This window comes from Homo sapiens, chromosome 6 (assembly GCF_000001405.40).
Source record: "Homo sapiens chromosome 6, GRCh38.p14 Primary Assembly".
Classification (NCBI taxonomy): domain Eukaryota; kingdom Metazoa; phylum Chordata; class Mammalia; order Primates; family Hominidae; genus Homo; species Homo sapiens.
In genome coordinates this window covers 140,189,122-140,212,024 of record NC_000006.12, presented here as the reverse complement: position 1 = coordinate 140,212,024, position 22,903 = coordinate 140,189,122, and the positions used below count along the sequence as shown (strand labels likewise).

General features: G+C 35.6%; 1 non-coding gene across 1 annotated transcript; it reads right to left on the bottom strand.

Annotated features, from left to right (window-relative positions):
• Positions 1-6,698: 6,698 nt before the first annotated feature.
• Positions 6,699-6,773, bottom strand: MIR3668 (microRNA 3668). The gene has a single exon (NR_037441.1). It is a non-coding gene; the product is annotated as a microRNA 3668 (primary transcript).
• Positions 6,774-22,903: the final 16,130 nt, after the last annotated feature.

Here is a 22,903-nt window from a genome sequence, read left to right as displayed (position 1 = left end):
ATTACAAATCAAGAGGACCCAAGCTGTGATATCACTCACAGTCTATGTGAGAGGATCTCAACCCTCTGACCTACCTCCCTCTTCCCCGTTCTTTAGAACACCGAATCAAGGCTCTGCCTAATACATTTATAACTTAATTTGTTTTGAGATTGTATGTCTAGCTTTTATCCAAGTTTCTCAAATGGGAAGCAAATTACACTCTACCCTTCAAGACTCTTGTCCTCTGACTAGAAGAAAGAGCAAGAATCAATTGCACTACAATGAATCAGTGTGAACTTTTCAGGCTCTTTCAGGTGTGGCAAGTGGCTACACTGAAGCTTCACCTTGTTCAAGTTTGGTTCAGCACTAGCAATGATTATCACACACACACACACACACACACACACAAATTGAGAGAGAACTGAGTAAGGAAAGGTGATTTCAGAACCAAGGGCTCCTGCCTTGAGCTTCAGTGAGCATTTGAAGGCTAGCAACCACCTCACCTTACAGCACTTGATTTCTCGCTTTTAGGCTGAGTGTCCTCCTGGTGCCTCCCTGATTGTAGCCCTGCCTTGACTTACTATAGAAGCTGTGTGCACTGCTTGAGAACTCACTCAAGCCTAGAATCTACACCATATGCTTTGGCTTGACGTCTACTTGTAGAGCAAAATCTACCCATTCATCCTCACTCATTCATCTATCTACACATCTGTCCATCCATTCATCCATCCAGCCAGCCATCAAGTATTAACCACCTATTATATGGCAGACTAGGTTGCTAGACATGTGAATCTGAATAAAGTGCTGGTAAATGCCTTCATAATATTTACAACTAAGAGAGGAAAAAAGGGGTCATTAAAGCCTCAACTGCATTTTTTCTCTATGAATGTTTCTGATTTATAAAAGATAAATAAAATTCAATTACACAGAGAACATATAATATTTGGATTGAAAAGCTCTTCTGTGCAATGATATATTGACACACAACATAAAAGAATGGCTTGAAATACAAAAATACCATTGTCATCCAGCAAATGGCACTAAGTTAGAAGAATTTTATTGTATAGCATAATACCAATCTATATACATTATGCTCCCAAATAAAAAACAATTTGATTCCGAAGGTTAAAATATCGTTTCCAAAATAAATTCTTGTTGTAAATTGGGAAAAAAGAAAAAAGCCCCACAAATGAACACAAACTTAACTTTCACCCAAGACTAAAATATGCACTCTGTACCAATTACCTCTCTCCTACAAAAATGCATATATATATATTTTGGAGATGGAGTCTCGCTCTGTTGCCCAGGCTGGAGTGCAGTGGTGAAATCCCGGCTCACTGCAACCTCTGCCTCCTGGGTTCAAGTGATTCTCCTCCCTCAGCCTCCCGAGTAGCTGGGACTACAGGCGCCCGCTACCACACCTGGCTCATTTTTGTATTTTTAGTAGAGACAGGGTTTCACCATGTTGGCCAGGCTGGTCTCAAACTTCTGACCTCAGGTGATCCACCCACCTCGGCCTCCCAAAGTTCTGGGATTACAGGCATGAGCCACTGCGCCCAGCCACAAAAATTCATATTATAAATAAAACTTTCAAAAAAATTATGGATGTTTTATTGCACATCATACAGAATGTTTGCCACTCTCTGAATGGCTTTCAGTCTTTCACCATATTAGCTGTCTAAAATATCTACTCAAACTTGGGTGAAAATAACACTCTGCAGATCTTATCATATCTATGTCAACATAATGGTTGAGGAGTGCCCAGGGTTTTACAAAGGCTCAGGTGTGGAAAGGTAACTTATGAGGAGTATGTGAAAAAAGATTCTATAGACCAAGGGATGCGTGAAACATTTTAATAGGAATAATCAAGGGAAACAGATGGTGAGGATGAAGGAATAAAAGATGAAGGAGAAAAGTATTACCATCCAGGAAGTTGCAGAATAAAGACATGGGGATGAAAAGCAACATACTGCATACAGGGGGCTACAAGCTTCCATGTGTTGCTCAATCAAAAAGTGTGAGCCAGAGATCATGGGAAATGAAGAAGGATACGTAGAGGGTTCAGATATCTGTGAGCCTTTTATTCCAAGCTTGTATCCCCTGGGCTCTAGTGTTCTACTAGATGACAGTAAGCATTCCACAAAAGTAAGCTTCTATGGTCAAATAAACCTGGGTTCTCTCACCAAGCACTCTCACAGTCTGGCTGTCTCCAGAGAGTGGTGTTATATTCACAAAGTTGAATGAGCAGACTGAAAGATAGCTGGTGCATATTAGCAGAAGTTTTCAAAGGAATGTGCTTAGAGTCTGAGCCTGATAAGCCTGCTTCTTACAAGGGTCTTTTCTGAGGTTTAGTTATGGCTTTAACTTTAGGAATATGGACTGAGATTTGCAATATATATTCGATAGTTGTTTTTTAAATGGTAGGTGGATCTGCTTTCACTGGAGCATTTACGACCTTAGAAAATGCAATTTTTTTGTCAAAAGTATTTGACTTACAAGCATCATGTATTTTGGTTTGTCACAATCTGTTGCAAATGCCAAATATCCACATTACCAATTAAGGAATAAGTAACAAAGTATCAAGTAAATATGTTAGTAAAAGGCATTATTAACATATTAAGACACAATAAAAATTTTAACACAATAACATATTTAAAGCAATCAGAATTTGAGGGGGTACTAGAGTGGTGCACTGCACACTGGGGTTACATTGGTGAGCTAAACGGGTTCATTACATAAAAGCACCACTCATATACTTAGCGTTTTTCTATCCTGCTATGAACATTATCTTAAGCATTATTTCCCACACTTTCTTGATAATAAGAATCCGCTAGATTTGTAAAATAGGTTTAGGTTCTCAGGCCCTCCGTTTGAGAGCTGATTCAATATTGTCTGTGAGGGGCCCAGGAATCTGGATTTTTAACAAGAGTCTTATGACCAGACATGTTTGTAAAACACCCACCTAATGGATTTTGCTTAGTAGTAACGTCTATAAAAAAAAAATCAAAATGCAAAGTTTTCCCCCAAAATGTATATAACAGCTTAAAATATATTGAGGTTACATTATATAGGAGATATTTTATAATAAAAATAATTTATTTAGTATGCTGTAGTAGAGGCAAGATTTAAATTAGCTATTTCTCAATTATAACAAGTCATTTTATGCCATTGAATAACCCCTGAATTAATTAACCATAAAATGCTGATAACTAGTTTTCTTTCTACATTTTCTTTTTAAAAGCAAATGAATAAAAATACAAAGATATGATAATTTTATTATTTTATAAATTCCAAAGATTAATTTCCATGTCCAATCTAATTTGTGTGATAATGACATTCTGTCAAGCTTAATTTTTACTCGGAATTTTCAGTTGGCCATGGTATTGGTAGTCATGCTTTTCTTTGTACTTTTCTAGAATTCTTAAAATAGGTGACATTTTAATCCAGAGGTGATGCAGGAAATGTATGTGTGATAAAAGCCATGCGATACGTTCATATAGCTCCCAAAGTACCTTGCAATTCATCTACATGACAGCTGTTATTGAAGCTTAAGATCATTAGCACAGGAAACTTGGCAAGGACACAGGACTGGGTTATAAATATTGGCTTCAGATGTCATTTCAGGACAGAGTTAAATTCTCTTAGGATGTAGTAGCATGGATTATATGAGAAACTCCAGTGGGATCCAAAGTTACTTGCGAGATTAATGAATCAAACGAAAGTAAAAGTAGAAAACATAATTTTAATTCACGTTTTTAATTTTAAAAAATTGTAGTAGAGTTAAAAAGGTTTCATTTTTGTTACTTACACATTGTCTAACATCAGGCAAGTTACTTAACTCCTAGGATTCATTTTCCTCCTGAGTGAAATTGAGTTAGATGTTTTCTTGTTGTTTGTTGTTTGCACAGTGCCTAGCACACACTAAGTTCTTCTCCTTCCTTCCTTTTTCATTCCTTTAACTTCCTTAATATTTCTCTTCTTTTAGTTTAATACTATTAGTGTCATTGTCATTTTCACACATTCAGGGACACATTCCCTTACCTATGTTTTCTAAAGATTTTTCAGTTGTCCTTTAAAGAAGCTGCATTTTAGCTACTAGGTAGCTGTATGTAAAGCAAAAAATTGTATATCAAATCACTTCTCCAGTGACGGTCATTTTGAATAACAAATACTATTTATTCAAACATCTACTCTCAGAATGATTTAAGGCTCTTTATACAATTGCATGCATTCTGATAGGCTAAAAAGTGATAAAAATAGAGAGAGAATGAATGACATAAAGTCAGAGGAAAGTTAATACATCAATGAATGCCATAAAATAATACCTAAGTGGGCTGAAAATATGCCTTTGCATTTCCTATGAACCAACGTATATAATAATTATAAACATTAAAAATAAAAACAATAAATAAAGAATAAGGGAAACATAAGTTATTGTTTCATGAGTTATAGGAAAAAAAATTGTAGCTTTACTTTAACACAAGAAAATGGCCTGTGACAATTTCCAGTGTAACACTTAGTTTTGGTATAGCTTAAAGCACATACTTAACAACTGATTCCAACTTGTGTAACATTAATAATTAAATATTCATCTGAAGAAATTAATATCCTAATGTGTGTGTACAATTAATAAAATCTTTGCAAAATGCATCTGGCAATTCTCATGGTCTAGACATATCTGTTAAAATATACCAGTGTTCCTGGTCCCAACACAATTACCCTTTTATTAAGAAAGGTGGCATGCTATTGAGGAAAATGCTGAGAACTGAAAATGAGGAGATCTGTGTTTTAGCCCCAGACATAACATTAACTTTCTGTGTAACCACTGCCATCTTAGGTTAAGTTTTTTGCCTTTGGTACTGTAAAATGTGAGATTGGTAACAAACAAATTCAGCATCCTCTTCCATCTATAAATTTCAGGGAGTTCTCATTGACTTTAATATTTAAGCAGCAGTACTTCATGCATTTTTAAATATTATTCAATTGCTGTCTTAAACTATTCAGGCTGCTGTAACAAAATACCATAAACTGGATGGCTTATAAACAACAAACATTTATTTCTCACAGTTCTGGAGGCTGAGAAGTCCAAGATCAAGACACCAGCACATTTTGTATCTGGTGAGGGGCTGCTTCCTGATTCAAACATGGCCATCTTTTCATGTATCCTCATATGGGGTAAGGGGTCGGGGATCTCTCTGTGGTCTCTTTTATAAGGGCACTAATCTCATTTATGAGGGCTCCCAAAGACTCTCCATCCTAATATCATTATCACCTTGGGGATTCGAATTTCAACATATAAATTTTGGAGAAAAACATTCAGTCCATTGCAGTTTCTAAAACTGAAGATGAAGATGCCTTTTCAGTTTTCATCAAATACAAATGGGATTTTTTTTTAGAAACAGGAATAATCAATCAACAAATCACTAAATGACTAACAGATATATCTGGATCATGTGACTAAGCAAAATGAGACTGGTTAAAATCACTCATTTCACCTGTGGGTATTCATTATAGTTCCCATTTTAAAATGTGAACATGTAAGTAAATTTCAAAGGTCATACATCTAGTAACGAAACAGGAAAAGTTCCCTTGTCCCCTCGCCAGGCATGCGATGCGGGTGTGGCTTGCTACTTCAGTGCCCCGCTCCTCAAACCTCTAGGGGAGCATACAGATGGGCAGGCTGTGGGGCTCCGCCCCCAGGGCTGAGTCTAGGGGTGAAAGTTTACAGCTCCTGAAGCCCCAGTGGGGTGTGTTACAGAGTGCTCTTTTAGTTTGTGGTCTATAGGCGACTTATGTCAGCTCAATTAGACCCTCTACCTTGTCACAAGGACAGAGGGCTTTCTGTATCCCAGGGTTTCTTGCCTTGGTGTACTGGAAGAATTGGTTCACATGTGGGCTTGAAGAATGAGTGCAAGGTTTTACTGAGTGGAAGTAGCTCTCTGCACATGGGGGAGCCAGAAAGGAGATGGTTTTCCCCTGGAGTTGTGCCACTCAGAGGCGCGGGCTCTCCCGGGCTCTCCTCCAACCACCCCAGCCAAACTCCACGTTGTTCTGCTGGTCAGTAGCCTGCCAGCATGCGGGTGCTGGTGCATCCCTCTGAACATCCTGTGCCTGTGTGTTCCTCTGCTGATGTGCTCCTCTCAATGTCCAGCTGCTTCTTCTCTGCCTTGCTAGGGTCTTGGTTTTTATACACACAGGATGAGGGCATGGTGGGCCAGGGTGGTCTTTGGAAATACAACATTTGGGCATGAAGGCAGGAGTGCCTGTCCTTACCTAGGTCCGTGGGGGTGGAGCCCCAGCCAGGGACCACGCCCTTCCTCTACCTAGCACTTTCCTTCACCCCTTCCATATCATTTAAAGGAGCCACGCTCCTCCCTTCCCAGCACTTCCATATCAGTAAGATGGAGTTTGAGTTTAACTTTTTGACTCCAAAAATGTTCATTTGTTTTCTGAACAAGCGATGCTATTGATGACATTGACAAAGGTTAGGGTTACAGTGAAACAAAACTGATTGATTGATTAGATAGAATAGAAAAAAACATATATATTATTCTAAGCTTTTCCTGCCATCATCTTTTCTGGGGAAAAAAAAGAAATAATATAGTTAGTTATAAAAAAGATCCATGGTTCAGCAGATGCTGGTCATATGTCTTAATTTTGTCACTGCCTTTCAAAATAGAGACACAAAGGGCATAATACTTTCAGACTTCAGTTTCCTCATATATAAAATTGCAGAGATTGATCAAAACTATTTTGATAGAAACTATTTTGATCAATCTCTACATTTCATATATTTTAGGCCAGTTAAACTCTAAGACATTTTTAAATAGTTGTAAAATAGTTATAAATAGAAGAGATACAGAAAGGAAAGGAGAAAGGACTAGTGTAATATTTTTCCAAAATACAGCCAGGCAAGAAATTTTAGACTACCAATGACTCTCTTCCAATATCTTTTTCTTTGTACAAAATATACTTCAAAAAAGCAGATGATGACCCCAGTGTGAGGGAAAGAGATTTAACACCTGTTTCACTCATTTTTGTGTCTTATTATATCACCTTGTGTAGAAATGAGCATAACTGATCATTTTCATTAGGTATTGTAAAATAATAAGGGCTTGCAATTAAAGATATGTACTATAAGTTTTGTAACACATTTTAAAATTAGAGCCAATATAATCATAGAATTTTAAATACAGGATGTAAAATAAATGAACTGCTATATATTTCAACAGATACCTTTACTATCAAAACATGAATCTAAATCATCCGTAATGCTAATCTCTTTTCCAAAGTGTTAGAACAAAAATGCCTGTATTATAGTATCATAGTTAGTTGCTGTACTTTCAAAATATTACATGATTAACAGGTAAATTACATGGTATTGATAGTAACATTTCTTTTTTAAAAAAAATCTTTATTCAGTAATATTCAAGGTAACCAGTACCTGGGAGAATCTCTACTCAAAGAAGTTGTAGAAAGAAACCTGAAAATATTTCATGTCTGTTAGGTTATGAACATTTGCATTTGAAAATGAATATCCTAAAGATTTAAGACCAAAAACAAAACTAAATCAAACAAGTTTCCTTAAGCATCCCCATCAATGATTTTTCAAATGGTAATTAATAGCACCAACCAACATAATTCAGGATTGGAGAATCTATGACTCACAATAAAAGCCTCTTTGGGGTGCCTAGGTTAAGAGAACATACAATTATGTGCAACATGAACTTAAAAGGAGCAATTAGAATGAGTTGCTTTTGACACAGACAATCATTTCTGACATTGAAATCTCAAAACATTTCAGAATCACATATTAAGGGAATGTTCATTTAATTAAAGAAGAATCAGAAGATTCAGATATTTATATTGTGTCAGTTTCATTCACTTTGTAACTAGGGTTGGGAATAAAGCACAAAACTTTAAACTGGACATTCAGATGTCACTGCTAACCACAGACTTACATTCTTTTGCTATTTATACCATTTGTTTACTTTTTGCATTTCCTTAGCTTGGACAGGGACTTTCTGCTTCTAGTCAATTTCACTCTTATTTTTGGCTCATAAATAAATTTTCCAGTACTTCTGGAAAATGTTACATCTAACAATTTTTTTGCAAAGAGATGATGGAAACATTCCTATTGGGATTTAATAAACTGGATGGTGAGAGTTGTCACTACTATCCCAAGAGATACCCACAGTAACCAAAAACATGTTTCCCAATTGTCTCTACGAGGTTGACAGCAGTAATAAAGAATATCTCCTCTCCTTTACCTTATCAGCACTACCATGTGATACGACTATTCTATTCTTTACAACAAAGGGTCTCCAAGGTTAGCCTGGCAACAGCTCAAACATACTCCAGCCCCACTTGAGTTTTTTTAATGATTCATTGAGAATTTCTGTCAATATTGTAGCCTGGAGAACTAAACTCTGCTCTCTGCTAAGTTCAATTAACTCTGGTCTCCTGTCAGTAATCAAATTTTTTTACATTTAATCACATCCATTTTATTTAAAACTAAACTATAGAGTACCATAAGCCTACTATACCTTTCTTTTTTACAAAACCTGCCAAAAGGTAAGGTGATGTTTTGCTTATAATAAGTTATAGCTCTTATGGATTAAACATTCTCCGTTAAAAGGAGTCTAGGACTTAATTTCCAGATCAATACTCATCCAACACTTAATCATTAAGGATGCTTGCCAAGGAAGTCTGCCTTATTCGATTCCCAGTGCTGTTATTGTTTTAACTGGTGATCTTGAATTCACCTACCAACCAGCTAGAAGTAAATTTTTATTTATTTATTTCATGGGTCAGTCAGAAGCAAATTTCCACACCACTGTAGCCAAACTAAAAATGAATATGAAGTTTTAAATACAGCTTGAGGAGGAAGGAAAGGCCATTTCCTTTCAGCAACTCTCAGTTTGGCCCTCACTGTGTTATGACAGATATCATTTGCTTCAATCTGTAGAAAATACTCCTATTATAAAACACTCAGCACCTCCTCAAGACAGAGTACTGAGAAACTGTTTTCCACCAATATTTTTGACAAATGCCCTGTACCTCAAAAGTGGTTTTCTATCACAGTAATTTTCAACTGAAGTCGAAATCTTTAAACACCACAATTACTACTTATTACACAAACATTTTGATTAATAAGATTTTCATGTTATTACAATGGAAATAAATGCCTTGACCACTTTGGTGTCTATCAGTTTTAATGCCTTTTTGCAATCAGGGAAGAACTCATCAACTATTGCTAAAATTGTCTAACGCGTCAGGAAGGGAGCAGGCTAAATAAAGATGATTACTTACCCTTTGAAAATAATCCAAAATAATTCTCAACTAACTGCCTTTTCAGTTTACATAAAGAAATTATGAATATTTCCTTACATTCCTACACTCTCAAATCAATCCTAAATTAAAGAGAAAATAAATTTTACATTAAAAAAAATTTTACAAGAAAAGAGAATATAAATCAATTTCACATGAAAAAAATTTTCATGTTATATTCTAAAAGTTCTATAATTTTACATTTTAACCTAGGATACATTTTGAGTTAATTTTTGTATAAGATGTGAGATTTAGGTTGAGTTTTAAGGCCTGGTGAGCAAATCTGTGACACGACACCAAAAGTATGATTCACAAAAGAAAAAATTTACAAAATGGACTTCATCAAAATTAAAAACATTTGCCCTCCAAAAAGTAATAAATTGGACATCATCAAAATTTAAAATGTTTGCTCTCCAAAACAACCTATAAAGAGGATGAAAATACAAGCTACAGACTGGGAGAAAATATTTGCAAAACACATACCTGACAAATGACTCCTATCTATATTATACAAAGAACTCTCAAAATTCAACATTGAAATACCAATTCAGTCAGAGAATGGGCAAACAAATGAATAGACATTTCACCAAAAAGTATATATGGGTAGTACATGAAAGGTGGAAGACCATGAAAAGATGATCATCACTAGCTTTAGGAAAATGCACATGAAAACCACAATGAGATATCATGGGATATTTTTCAGAATGGGTAAAATCTAAAAAGTTACAACAGAAAATGCTGGTGAGGATGTAGAGAAAACTGCATGTCTCAATCATTGTTGATGGAAATGTAAAATAATACAGTCACTTTGGAAAATAATTTAGTAGTTTCTTCAAAAACAAAGCATACACATACCATACAACCCAGCAATGGTATCTCTATGGATTTTTCTCAGAGGAATGAAAACTTGCATGCCCCCCCAAAAAAAATCTGAACATGATTGCTCATGTCAGCTTCATTTGTAATAACAGCAAAAAGCTGGAAAAAATGAGAATGTCCTTCAGTAAGTCAGTGGTTAAACAAACTGTGGTACATCCATACCATGGAATACCAGTCAATAATAAAATGAAGCAAGCTATTGATACATTCAGCAACTTGTATGGATCTCAGGGCCCTACACTGAGTGAAAAATAAGGCTAATTTAAAAAGGTCACATGCACATAAAGATGGAAATAATAGACACTGGGACTCCAAATGTGTGGAAGGTGGAATGGGGACAGGGGCTTAAGGATTACCTACAGGGTACAATGTTCACTGTTTGGGTAATGGGTACGCTAGAAGCCTAGTCCCCAGCAACATGCAATATACCCATGTAACAAATAAGCAAATGTACACCCTGTATCTATTTTCTAAGTCACATACTGCATGTTTCTACTAATATAACTTTCTCAAAATGAAAACATGATAGAGAAGAAACACAAATTAGCGGTAGCTAGGGATCGAAGATGTTGGAGGGGAGAAGGATGGAGGTGACTACAAAAGAGTAGTATGAGAGATCTTTGTGGTGATGAAATAGTTCTTTATCTTGATTGAGGTAGTGATTATACAAAGCTAGCTACATATGTGATGGAAAGACATAAAAATATATACATGCACATTGCACTGATGCCAAATTCCTGGATTTTATATTGAACTGTAAGTATATAAGATGTAACCATTAAGGGAAACTGGATTGAGAATGCATGGAACCTATCTGTACTATCTTTTCAATTTCAAAATGAATTCATAATTATTTCAAACTGAAAAAATATTTTTCAAGTTTTATCATAATGTCACTTTGCTGCACCAGCCTCTTAAATATACTAATTATTTTTTTAGGTTGAAAGTAACCCCATCAAAGTTACTTCTTGGACTTTTTATGTTATACTTGGCAAGCTTTATTCTAAAGATGAAATTTTAAATGTATTTTGAAAAACTAAGTGTAACAGTGGACCTCTCTCACTTATGTCTGCCTGTATCCATTTCCATTTCTTCTAACAATAGGAAGCTACATTTGGGGAGAGAAGTTATGCTCTGTTTCCTCCCCACACTAAACATGAGCTAGATAGGGCCTTGCTTCCCATCTGCCAGGATTAATACCTAGAACTAGGCTGGCCAATAAAACAACTTTATTCCCTTGACTAGAATGAATGATTTAAGCATGGAAACTGTGATTTACACTGATCAATCTCAGTTCTGAGATTAATTCATGGACCATGAAAGAAAGAGTGCTCTTATTTTTATTTTTTATCATTGATCATTTATTTGTAGATTTGGAGCTTCTGGTCACTTGGAGAGGGTTTGCCTGAGACTTAAACTATCATCATTTCTGAATCAAGGGATCCATCTCTTTGTTTCTTATGTTTTATTTAATTAGTCTGGGTTGGGTCTCTGTCACCTGTATCTCAGGGCCCTGATAAATGTAACAATATATAAAAATAGATATGGAATATATTCTAGTTTCACTTTTTATAGTATTTTCACTTGAAAAACTAAATAATAGATGTCTATGATCCTTATATATAAATGAATTGAGAAAGGAGATAACATAAATATATGAAATTGCTAACATTCAGCTATTTTTGAGCAACAAAAATTATAATCTCATATGCTTCTAACAAATAGTTCAACTTGATTAGTAGTCACTATATATTTAGTCAACTACTCAATTGCTTATAGATATATTTATTTATACCTGCCTTTTTCTGTTAAAACTTGGCATCACCATTTTCTTGAATATTCCAATGATAATTATATTTCTACAGAAAAACATTTGAAGTATCTTCTCTTGGTTACCAGGTTTAAAACAGTGTATTTCAGAAATATTGCTATACATTCTTGCCCATATAAATAAAAATAAAATTAAGGACTTGATTCAGAACAGTATTTGTCACATGATATCACAGTGATAAAAGTTATTTAAATGAATTGCAGAGGCAAATCTTTAAGTCCTCTATTATCATACAGACATGTTTTGAGTTTGTTTACTCCCATTCCAATAGCACAGTATTTTAATTCAAGAATTTTTCTATCATCTGTCAACTTTTGAAAAGAAAAACTAGGTAACAGTTTAAGAGACTATTTTGCATTTTGCGTATGAAAATATTAGCTTCAAGTGAAGATAAAATTATAAAATATTGATTCTATATTTACTGGACTTCATTTGCATTGACAAAATATTCCTAAATGTAGATATTTACTTCAAAAATGAAACTTTACCTATTTGTTTTTAATAATTCCTTTCTTTCTTTCAATGTCTTGACCCCCTGGCCTCTTTCTGTCTCCAAATATGGAGTATCTCAAAATCCAATTGCATCTCTTGCAATTTCATTAAATTTCTTGAAAGCCATTTCCCCCCGGGAAAGACAGGGAAGGAGAATTTTTTAAAAAAAGGAAAATGTGCTCTTGAATAGCAGATCTTTTCTATGGTTCAGACTCATATCCCCATGACAACTTAATTGCCACAGAAAAACAGTAAGAACTTTTATTTCCCTATCATAACATGTATGAAAGTCTTTTCATTTTTATCAGCTGCAATTTGTGTGTGTGTTTAACAACATTTATTATCCAAACTGAAATCCAAAACTAGAATTGATATACACAGAAAGGAAATTTCATTGGACATTATGTATTTTAAACTTTTCATTTTACCAGTGCAAAAAAGAAATAACAGGTAGAATGATTTCATTTTATTGAGGTGAAATCTATGTAACATAAAATTAATCATTTCAAAATATATAATTGAATGGAATTTAATACATTCATAAAGTTAGGCAATCGCCACATCTATCAAGTTCCAAAATATTTTCATCATCCCAAAAGGAAACCTTGCATCCATTGAGCAATCACTCCCCCATCTCCCATTTCTTCCTGTTTCAGTTTCCGGTAAATGGGAACCTGCTTTCTCTCTGTATGAATTTAACTAGTTTGGATATTTCAAATAAATGGAAATATGAAACATGTAACCTGTTGAGTTTGTCTTCCTTCACTTAGCATAATGCTTTCAAGGTTCGTCCATGTTGTAGCATGTATCAGTACTTCACTGTTTTGTGTAGCTGAATAATATGCCATTGTATGTATATATCATACTTTGTTTATCCATTTATCTGGTAACACATGTGGGTTGTTTCTACCATTTAGCTATTATGAAAGTGTTTCCATGAACATTCATGTATAAGTATTTGCTTGAGTATCTGTGTTTTCAACTCTTTAGGGTATATACCTAGGAGAAAAATTCCTAGGTCATATAATAATTCTATCTTTTATGTTTTGAGGAGCTGCCAAACTATTTTCCACAATGGCTTCACTAACAAGGTATGAGGGTCAAAATTTTTGTACATTCTCTCCAACACTTGTTATTTTTCAATAATAATGATGATAAGATGATGTGGGCAATGTAGATAATTACAGCTCTCCTGGTGGGTGTGAAGTCTTATCATATTGTAGTTTTGATGTGCATTTCTGTAATGACCAAATTCTGTTAAAGATATTTGCATGTGTTTGTTGGCCATTTGCGTATCATCTTTGGAGAAATGTCTCTTCAAGCCCTTTGCCATTTTCTAAATTAATTGCTTGTCTTTTTTTTTTTTTTTTAATGAAGTCTTGCTCTGTTGCCCAGGCTGAAGTACAGTGGTGCGATCTCAGCTCACTGCAATTTCTGCCTCCTGGATTCAAGCAGTTCTCCTGTCTCAGCCTCCCAAGTAGCTGGGACTACAGGTGCATGCCACCACACCCAGCTAATTTTTGTATTTTTTTTTTTTTTTAGTAGAAACGGGGTTTCACCATTTTGGTCAGGTGGTCTCGAACTTCTGATTTCAGGTGATCCACCTACCTCAGCCTCCCAAAGTGCTGGGATTACAGGCATGAGCCACCACACCAGGCCAACTGCTTGTCTTTTTGTTGTTGATTTGTAAGAGTTCTTTAGATATTCTGAAATATTAACCTTTATTAGATATATGGTTTAAAGAATTTTCTCCTACTTTTGGATTTTCTCTTCACTTTCTCAATATTGTCCATTGATGCCCAAAAGTTTTAAATTTTGATGAAGTCCAATTTATCTATTTTTTCTTTTGTTGCTTGTATTTTTTCTGTCACATTTAAGCATCCTTTATTAAACCCAAGGTCATGAAGATTTACCACTATGTTTTAGTCTAAGAGTTTTATAGTCTTAGATCTTTCATTTAGGTCATGATCCATTTTCAGTTAATTTTATACATGGTATGAGGTGGGAATTTGCTAGCCTTTTAAGGCACACTTCATTCACATTCAAGCCACTGTATAAATAATTTTGATAAATAGGGTAATTATTTACTGAGAATTGTAGCCCTTAAAATTAAAAATTTTATTAAAGTGGGATTTTGATGCATGTATGGCTCATGAAACCTAAAATTATCTGATCCTACTCTGGAAATATATAATATTCAATTAAGTAGAGGCATGAAACTACTGTGCCTTCCTAATCTGTTTGTGCAGATCACATTAGCACTGACCCACCAGGTTGGAACAGTGACTGGATAATATCTTAGTCTATGATTTCTATGAACATAACCATTGATCTGTTGTATGGTACTCAAATATGGAGCAGGAGTGGTTCATTATTGCAGTTCCTTATAGTCATATAGATTGTAGTTCCTTATAGTGATATAGAGTTTATTTTTTTCTCCTTCTACTTTTATTTTAGATTGTGAGGGTATAATATACACGTTTGACACATGGGTAAATCACTGAGGCTTGGTGAATGAATGATCTCATCACCCAGGTAGTGAGCATAGTACTCAATAGGTAGCCTTCCAACCCACAACCTCTTCCCATTCTTTCCCCACAAATAGTACCCAGTGTCTATTGTTCCTATCTTTGTGTCCATGTATATTCAATGTTTAACTCCCACTTGTAAGTGAGAACATGCAGTATTTGGTTTTCTGTTCCTGTGTTAGTTCACTTAGGATAATGCCCTCCAGCTGATCCCATGTTGCTGCAAAGGACATGGTTTCATTCTTTTGTGGCTGTGTAGAGTTCTATGGCCACATTTTCTTTATCCAGTCCACTGCTGATGGGCATCTTGGTTGATTCCGTATCTTTGCTATTGTTACTAGTGCTGCAATAAACATATGAGTGCATGCATCTTTTCAGAACAATTTATTTTTCTTTGAGTGTGTACACAGTAGTGGAATAGCTGGGTCAAATGGCAGTTCTTTTTTAAGTTCTTTGAGATACATCCACACTGCTTTACACAGTAGCTGAATTAATTTACATTCTTACCAGCAGTGTATATGTATTCCTTTTCTTCTGTAAGCATGCCATCATCTGTTTTTTGACTTTTTAATGATAGTCATTCTGACTGGCATGAGATGGAATCTTACTGTGGTTTTAATTTGCATTTCTCTAATTAGTGATGATTTTCATTCTTATATTTGTTGCCCATGTGCATGTCTTCTTTTATAGAAGTGTCTCTGTTCATGTCCTTTGGACATTTTTAAAGGGCGTTTTTTTCTATTTCTGTTTGTTGAATTAAGTTTTTTATAGATTCGGGATATTATACCTTTGTTAGATTCATAGTTTGTGAATATTTTGTCACATTTTGTATGTTGTCTGTTTACTCTGTTGATAGTTTCTTTTGCTGTGCAGAAGCTCTTTTGTTTAATTAGGTCCTGCTTGTCAATTTTCATTTTTGTTGCAATTGCTTTTGGGGACTCAATCATAAATTACTTCCCAAGGCCAATGTCCAAAATGGTATTTCCTAGGTTTTCTTTTAGGGGTTTTATTGTTTCAGTTCTTACATTTAAGTCTCTAATCCATCTTGAGTTAATTTTTGTATATGATAAAAGGAAGGGGTCCAGTTTCAACCTTCTGCATCTGGCTAGCCAGTTATGCCATCACCATTTATTGCCTAGGGAGTCCTCTCCCCATAGTTTGTTATTATTGACTTTGTCAAAGCTCTGGTGGTTGTGGGTGTCTGGCTATATTTCTGGATTCTCTAGTCTGTTCCATTGGTTTATGCGTCTGTTTTTGTAATGGTACTATGCTGTTTTGGTTACTGTAGCCCTGCAGCATAGTTTGAAGTTGGGTAGTGTGATGCCTCCAGCTTTGTTCTTTTTGCTTAGGATTGCTCTGGTGATTCAGGTTCTTTTTTTAGTTCCATATGAATTTTAGAATAATTTCTTCTAATTTGGTGAATAAAGGCATTGGCAGTTTGATAGAATTATCACTGAATCTGTAAATTGCTTTGGGCAATGTGGCCATTTTAACAATTCTGATTCTTCCTATCCATAAGCATGAAATGTTTTTTTATTTGTTTATGTTGTCTCTGATTTCCTTTTTTTAAGTGAAGACAAGTTTATAAGAGAAGCAAGAAACAAAAGAATGGCTACTCCAGCAGAACAGTCCTGAGGACAGTTAGTTGCCCATTTTTATGGTTATTTCTTAAATATATGCTAAACAAGGTGTGAATTATTCATGCCTCCCCTTTTTAAACCATATAGAGTAACTTCCTGACATTGTCATGGCATTTGTACACTGTCATTGCGCTGGTGGGAGTGTAGCAGTGAGAATGACCATAGGTCACTCTCATCGCCATCTTTGTTTTGGTGGGTTTTAGCCAGCTTCTTTACTGCAATCTGTTTTATCAGCAAGGTCTTTATGACCTGTATCTTGTGCCAACCTCCTATCTCATCCTGAGACTAAGAATTCCTTAACTTACTGGGAATGCAGCCCAGGAGGTCTTAGCCTTATTTAACCCAGCCCATATTCAAGATGGAGTTGCTCTGGTTCAAACACTTCTGATATTTCCCTCCTCCCTTTTATAAGAGAACCCTTAATTGTAAGAGTCACAGAGGACAAAGATCCATCTTTTGTAAATTCTTCATGCTGAATGAAGGTGATGATATTCCTGCTTCACTATTAAGAGTCTCTTGTATTCAGGGTAGGGAGGAGTACAGTCTGAAAGTGTCAGTATGATAAGGGTCATTCATAACCCTTGGGTTCCAAAAAAAGGTGGTATCTGGAAGATTAAGAAGTGTTCAATTTAAGAAAACATTCAGTAAGCTTATCTTGCATTCATATACAAAGAGTACAACAGCAATATATTCCACAACAGTAAAACAAAATAAGCAAAATTATTTTAAGTAAACTAAATAAGAAGGTTTTTCATGAACTGAACAACTGTTGGAACCAAGCTGATAATGTGGTTGCTAGCTGATTCCAATGTGTGCCCAAAATTAGAATACTGATCCAGATTTTTACATTACCTAACAGTGGTTGGTTCAGAGGAATAAGCAGGGTCAGCCTAAATAACAGGAAAAACACCTTAAAAATAACTGAGGAGACTAGAATTTAAAAACAGGTGTAACATAATTCTTGAAACATAATTTTTCCCTCTCCAGTCTCCCAAGTGTCAGATTTACGCAGACAAATCGTGGTAAGATTGATTTGCTTTATTATGCTTGGCCTGATTATTTGTATAAAGTGCAAGAATAATTATTTTTTACATAGGTGTTTAAAATTGGCTTTGATGGAACTCTATAAGTAATCTCAGATAAGACTTTTTTAAAAAGCCAAGCCCAACAATGGCTTTGTGCCATCAAATACTTATGAGTTGGGTAAATTCCTCTCCTCTTGAGGTCCCAAGATAACTTGGGACCCCTGGGCCTGTCTGAAAGCAACATTCTTTATGTACCACAGGCTAGGAACTCTGCACAGGTTCTATGTAGACAAGGTATCAGGCTAGTTTTCCCAGGGGGCTTTCATTGGCTCTATAAGTCAAATTTGATTCGTTAAAGAAAGCACCTCATTCTACTCATACCTTGGTAAAATAACCAATTTCTCCAATTGTGTTCTGTTGCAAAAGAAAACAGATTCTTGCAGGCTGACCATGAGGTCAGGAGTTCGAGATAAGCCTGGCCAACATGGTGAAACCCCATCTCTACTAAAAATATAAAAATTAGTCAGGCGTGGTGGCACGTGCCTGTAATCCCAGCCATGCAGGAGACTGAGGCAGGAGAATTGCTTGAACACGGGAGGTGAAGGTTACAGTGAGCCAAGATTGTGCCACTGCACTCCAGCCTTGGGAACAGATGAAGGCTCCATTTCAAAAAAAAAGAAAGAAAGAAAAAGAAACAGAAAAAGAAAACAGATTCTTATTGCACTTACGCAAATAACAAATACTGCCATGAGTTAAGAATACTCACAAATAGTTTCCAAATTTTGGAGAAACCAGGTAGAGAGAAATAAATATGCCCCACATTTTGTTCATAGGAGTACATTTTCTATTCAATTGTTAAAAAGCTGTAAATAGCTCAAAAGAACAGGGTTTTCTTGACTTCGCAAAACAAAACAAAGGATCAGCAACACTTTTAGCCAGAAGCTGAAAAGATTACTTCAGTTTTCTATTAGTTTAGCCCATGCAGTTAACTCCTGTGCTGCCTGAGATTCATGAACATTTCAGCTTTCCATGAGTCCTGAAATTTTTCCTCTATTCTAATGTCACAATCTCCAAAGTTATCAGAAATGTGCATTTAAGAGCACCTGTTAGAGTCCTATAGCAGATTATAAACCATCTTTTAAAGAGGATCAAAACAACAATGGTCTGTGGATAACAAAATATCTTAGGGCAGCCTCCATTAAAGCCATGATTGACAAAGAATTTGGGTTATTTCTGTGGCATATAACTATATTACATAACAATTGTAATTATTAATAACATATACTAAGTCATATAAGAATTATAAGTGTTTCTCATAAGTTTGAAACACATAACAATAACATATTCATACAAAAAGCCAAAGACCATTTGATATTTGACAATGGTTCCTGTATGATTCTTATACTAAAAAAGCCAAATTTCACCTTTACATTAGTGTACTATTAATGTTAAACTCAATTCTTAATAAAATCTTATAGACAAATGTATCAAATTTTAATGTCTGACCAAAAGGTAAGATTCTCACAAACCTTCTATAACCCTTTACAAGTTTTTGTTGAAGAGCAGATCAGTGCTCACAAAAAACCTGTTGCACTTTTATTCCAATGTTTAATTTACAGAAAAACTGAATACCCTTTTAACTTTAGCCAATATGTTCACACACAGAATCTCTTTTACAATTAATATTTTTATAAACCTTCTACAACTTGTTTAAACCTTTAGAATATTCCCTATTTCACTTAAAACAATCCTTTTACTCTTTAGTATAGGTAAAAAATCCACATTCCCATGCCTTCTTGTAATTTTTTACAAAAACACATTTCACTTTCCTTACATACTTTGCATGTAACACTGTTTCTATTTCCCAAAGATTACTTAAGTCACGTGAACTAAGACATTATACTTTATACTTTTTCAGACAAAATATTTGATTTGAACACTTATTATTTTTAAACAAATTAATTGAAGCTCTTTTATATCACACACACAACACATATAAACACACAGACAGACAGAAGATCCAGTAGTTGTAATATTTTTCATTTGCCAGTTTCTAAGTTTCTCTTTAAAGCATACGGTTTCTAGGGCCTAATAAGCAGGCACAGCTGGAAGGCAAAGCAGGACTCAGAAATTAAGGGTCCCATTTTTGTAACAAATCCTGGATCCAAAAAAGGGGAATCAGCCCAACTCTGTGGGAGTCTTATCTCTCAGTGGGGAGTGGGGACATTTCCATATTTCCTTGGTGGTCAAGAGCATGCATCTCTGATCCAAACATGCAAGAAGCCTAGTATCCCTCCACAACTGCTATTAGCCATCTCCAAAAGTAATTTTTCTACCTAATTTATTATACACTAAAGCTCTCTCATAATGTGAAATAATTTCTGATACCCACAGAAGTAAAAAACATCAGCTAACACAATACAAAACAGAAGAGAGCCTTGTATTGTGAGGAATCTATTTGCTTCCAATTTCTGGGGTTTTATGAGTCAAACAGATTTTTCCCAAAACAGAGTCTGTGGCACCTCCTCTGTTTTTACCAAGGAGTCCCAAGCTGTTAGAACTTGAATATTCATTTTTAATTAAGCTGGCTTTTAACTCTTTAAAAGGTTTTTTTTTTAATCTCTTATTAACAGACTCTATCCAGTCTAAATAGGCAGCATTTCTATGCTCAGAGAAAGGAAAATTCAAGACAGTTCATGAGGGGAAGAGAATGAACAAATGGTAAAGGTCACACAGATATCAAACCAGAAAAAAACTCATTCCTTAAGCTGGAATATGATCATGGGACATGGGGAGTTTTTCTCTCCCTAAAGGGGGAAACTTGAGAGCTGATGGGACTGCTGGAAAATATCCCTTCCCAACTGATAAGCGGCCACCTGAACTTTTGATTCAGTGTCAGCTTACAATGGGTAGGCCTTTCTCTGGCCTTCCTGAGCTCCTCAATTTCTCCACCCTGCCACAGGCAATACTTTTCTCCCTCCCTTTCCTTTCTCTCTCTGTGCAAAACAATTGAATGAATGGTTAAAAAAAAATCATTATCTCTTGCAAAGTTTTGAGTTATTGGAAAAAGGATTTGTGAGGCCAGTCTTAGGTTGTAGCAAACCTCGTGTGCTTTTTGTGTCTTTCTGTATTGTTCTGTCATAAAAGAGGGGTACCATAGGATAGAATGTAGTCCTAGGATTCCTTGTAACCTGCTGTTCAAGACAGCCCAGAAAATTAGTCAGTTATAAACTTTGCTGCAGGTTCCTGAAAAAAAAATCTGGATGAGGCTCTCCTCTCCTCCTGTTCTATGTCCTTGGGAGCTTGACCTTATAACCACATGGTGGTACTTTCTTTTAGTCTCTGCCTTCTGGAGAACAGGAATTTTGGAATTCATGTCATAGTTAGCTCTAAAAATTATCTTGAGCAGTTAAAAGCCTCTGCAAGCTCCAAACTGGATCTCTAGGCTCCTTCTGAGAAGGGCCATGGAAATTACCCAATGCTGTAGCTCAGCAGCAAAGGCTTCACAATTTTACAATGACAGCCCGGATTCATCTCTGATTTGAGTAATGTTTTATAATTCTCATTGTAGAAATCTTTCAACTCCTTAGTAAGCTGTATTCCTAGGTATTTTATTCTTTTTCTGGCTATGATAAATGGGATCACATTCTTGATTTTGTTCTCAGCATGGACGTTTATGTGGCATAGAAATGCTACTGATTTTTGTACATTGATTTTGTATCCTGAAAGGTTACTGAAGTCAATTATTCGTTCTAGGAGCCATCTGGCAAAACCTACTAGGTGTTCTTGATAGAGAATCTTATTATCTGTGAAGGGAGATTATTTGACTCTCTCTTTTCCTATATAGAGACCTCTTCTTTCTCTTGCATAATTTCTCTGGCTAGGACTTACAGTATGTTGAAGGGAAGCAGTAAGACTGGTTATCCTCGTCTTGTTCCAGTTCTCAAGGGGACTGCTTCCAGATTTTGCCCATTCAGTATGATATTGGCTGTCATTTGTCAAATATAGCTCTTATTATTTTGAAATATTTTTCTTCAATGCCTAATTTGTGCAGGGTTTTTAACACAAAAGTATGCTGAATTGTATTGAAAGCCTTTTCTGCATCTATTGAGATAATCATGTGGTTTTTCTTTTTAATTCTATTAATGTGGTGAATCACATTTATTAATTTGTGTATGCTGAAGCAACCTTGCATCCCAGGAATACAGTCTACTTGATTGTGGTGAATTAACTTTTTGATGTGCTGCTGGATTCATTTTCCTAGTATTTTGTTGCAGAGTTTTGCATCTACGCTCATCAAGGATATGGACCTAAAGCTTCTGTTTTGTTGTTGTGTCTCTGCCAGGTTTTGACATCAGAATGATTCTGGCTTCATAGAATGAATTAGGGAGGAGTCCCTTGTTCTTAATTTTTGGAATAATTTTAGTATGATTGATACTAGCTCTTCTTTGTACATACGGTAGAATTTGACTGTGAATCCAACTGATCTAGGGCATCTTTTGATTGGTAGTTTATTTTATTAGTGACTCAATTTTGGAATGCATTATTGGTTTGTTCAGGATTTCAATTTCTTCCTGGTTCAATCTCGAGAGGCTGTGTTTTGCCAGGAATTTATCCATTTCTTCTAGGTTTTCTAGTTTGTAGCATAGAGATGTCTACAATAGTGCCTGGGAATTTTTGTATTTCTGTGGAGTCAATTGTAATGTTACGTTGGTTTTGCTGATTGTGCTTGTATTAGTTCATTTTCATGCTGCTGATAAAGACATAACCAATTTATAAGGAAATTTATACATGGACTTACAGTTCCACATGATTGGGGAGACCTCACAATCATGGCAGGAGGCAAGAAGGAGCAAGGAACATCTTACATAGATGGTAGCAGGAAAAAAGAGAGGTTTTGCAGGGAAACTCCACCTTATAAAGCCATCAGATCTCATGAGACTTATTCACTATCATGAGAACAGCATGGGAAAGACCTGCCCTCATGATTCAATTACCTCCCACCAGGTACCTCCCACAACATGTGGAAATTCAAGATGAGATTTGGGTGGGAACACAGCCAGGCCATATCATTCAGCCCCTGCCCACCCCCCGCCCCAAATCTCACATCCTCACATTTCAAAACCAATCATGCCTTCCCAACAGTCCCCCAAAGACTTAACTAATTTCAGCATTAACTCAAAAGTCCACAGTCCAAAG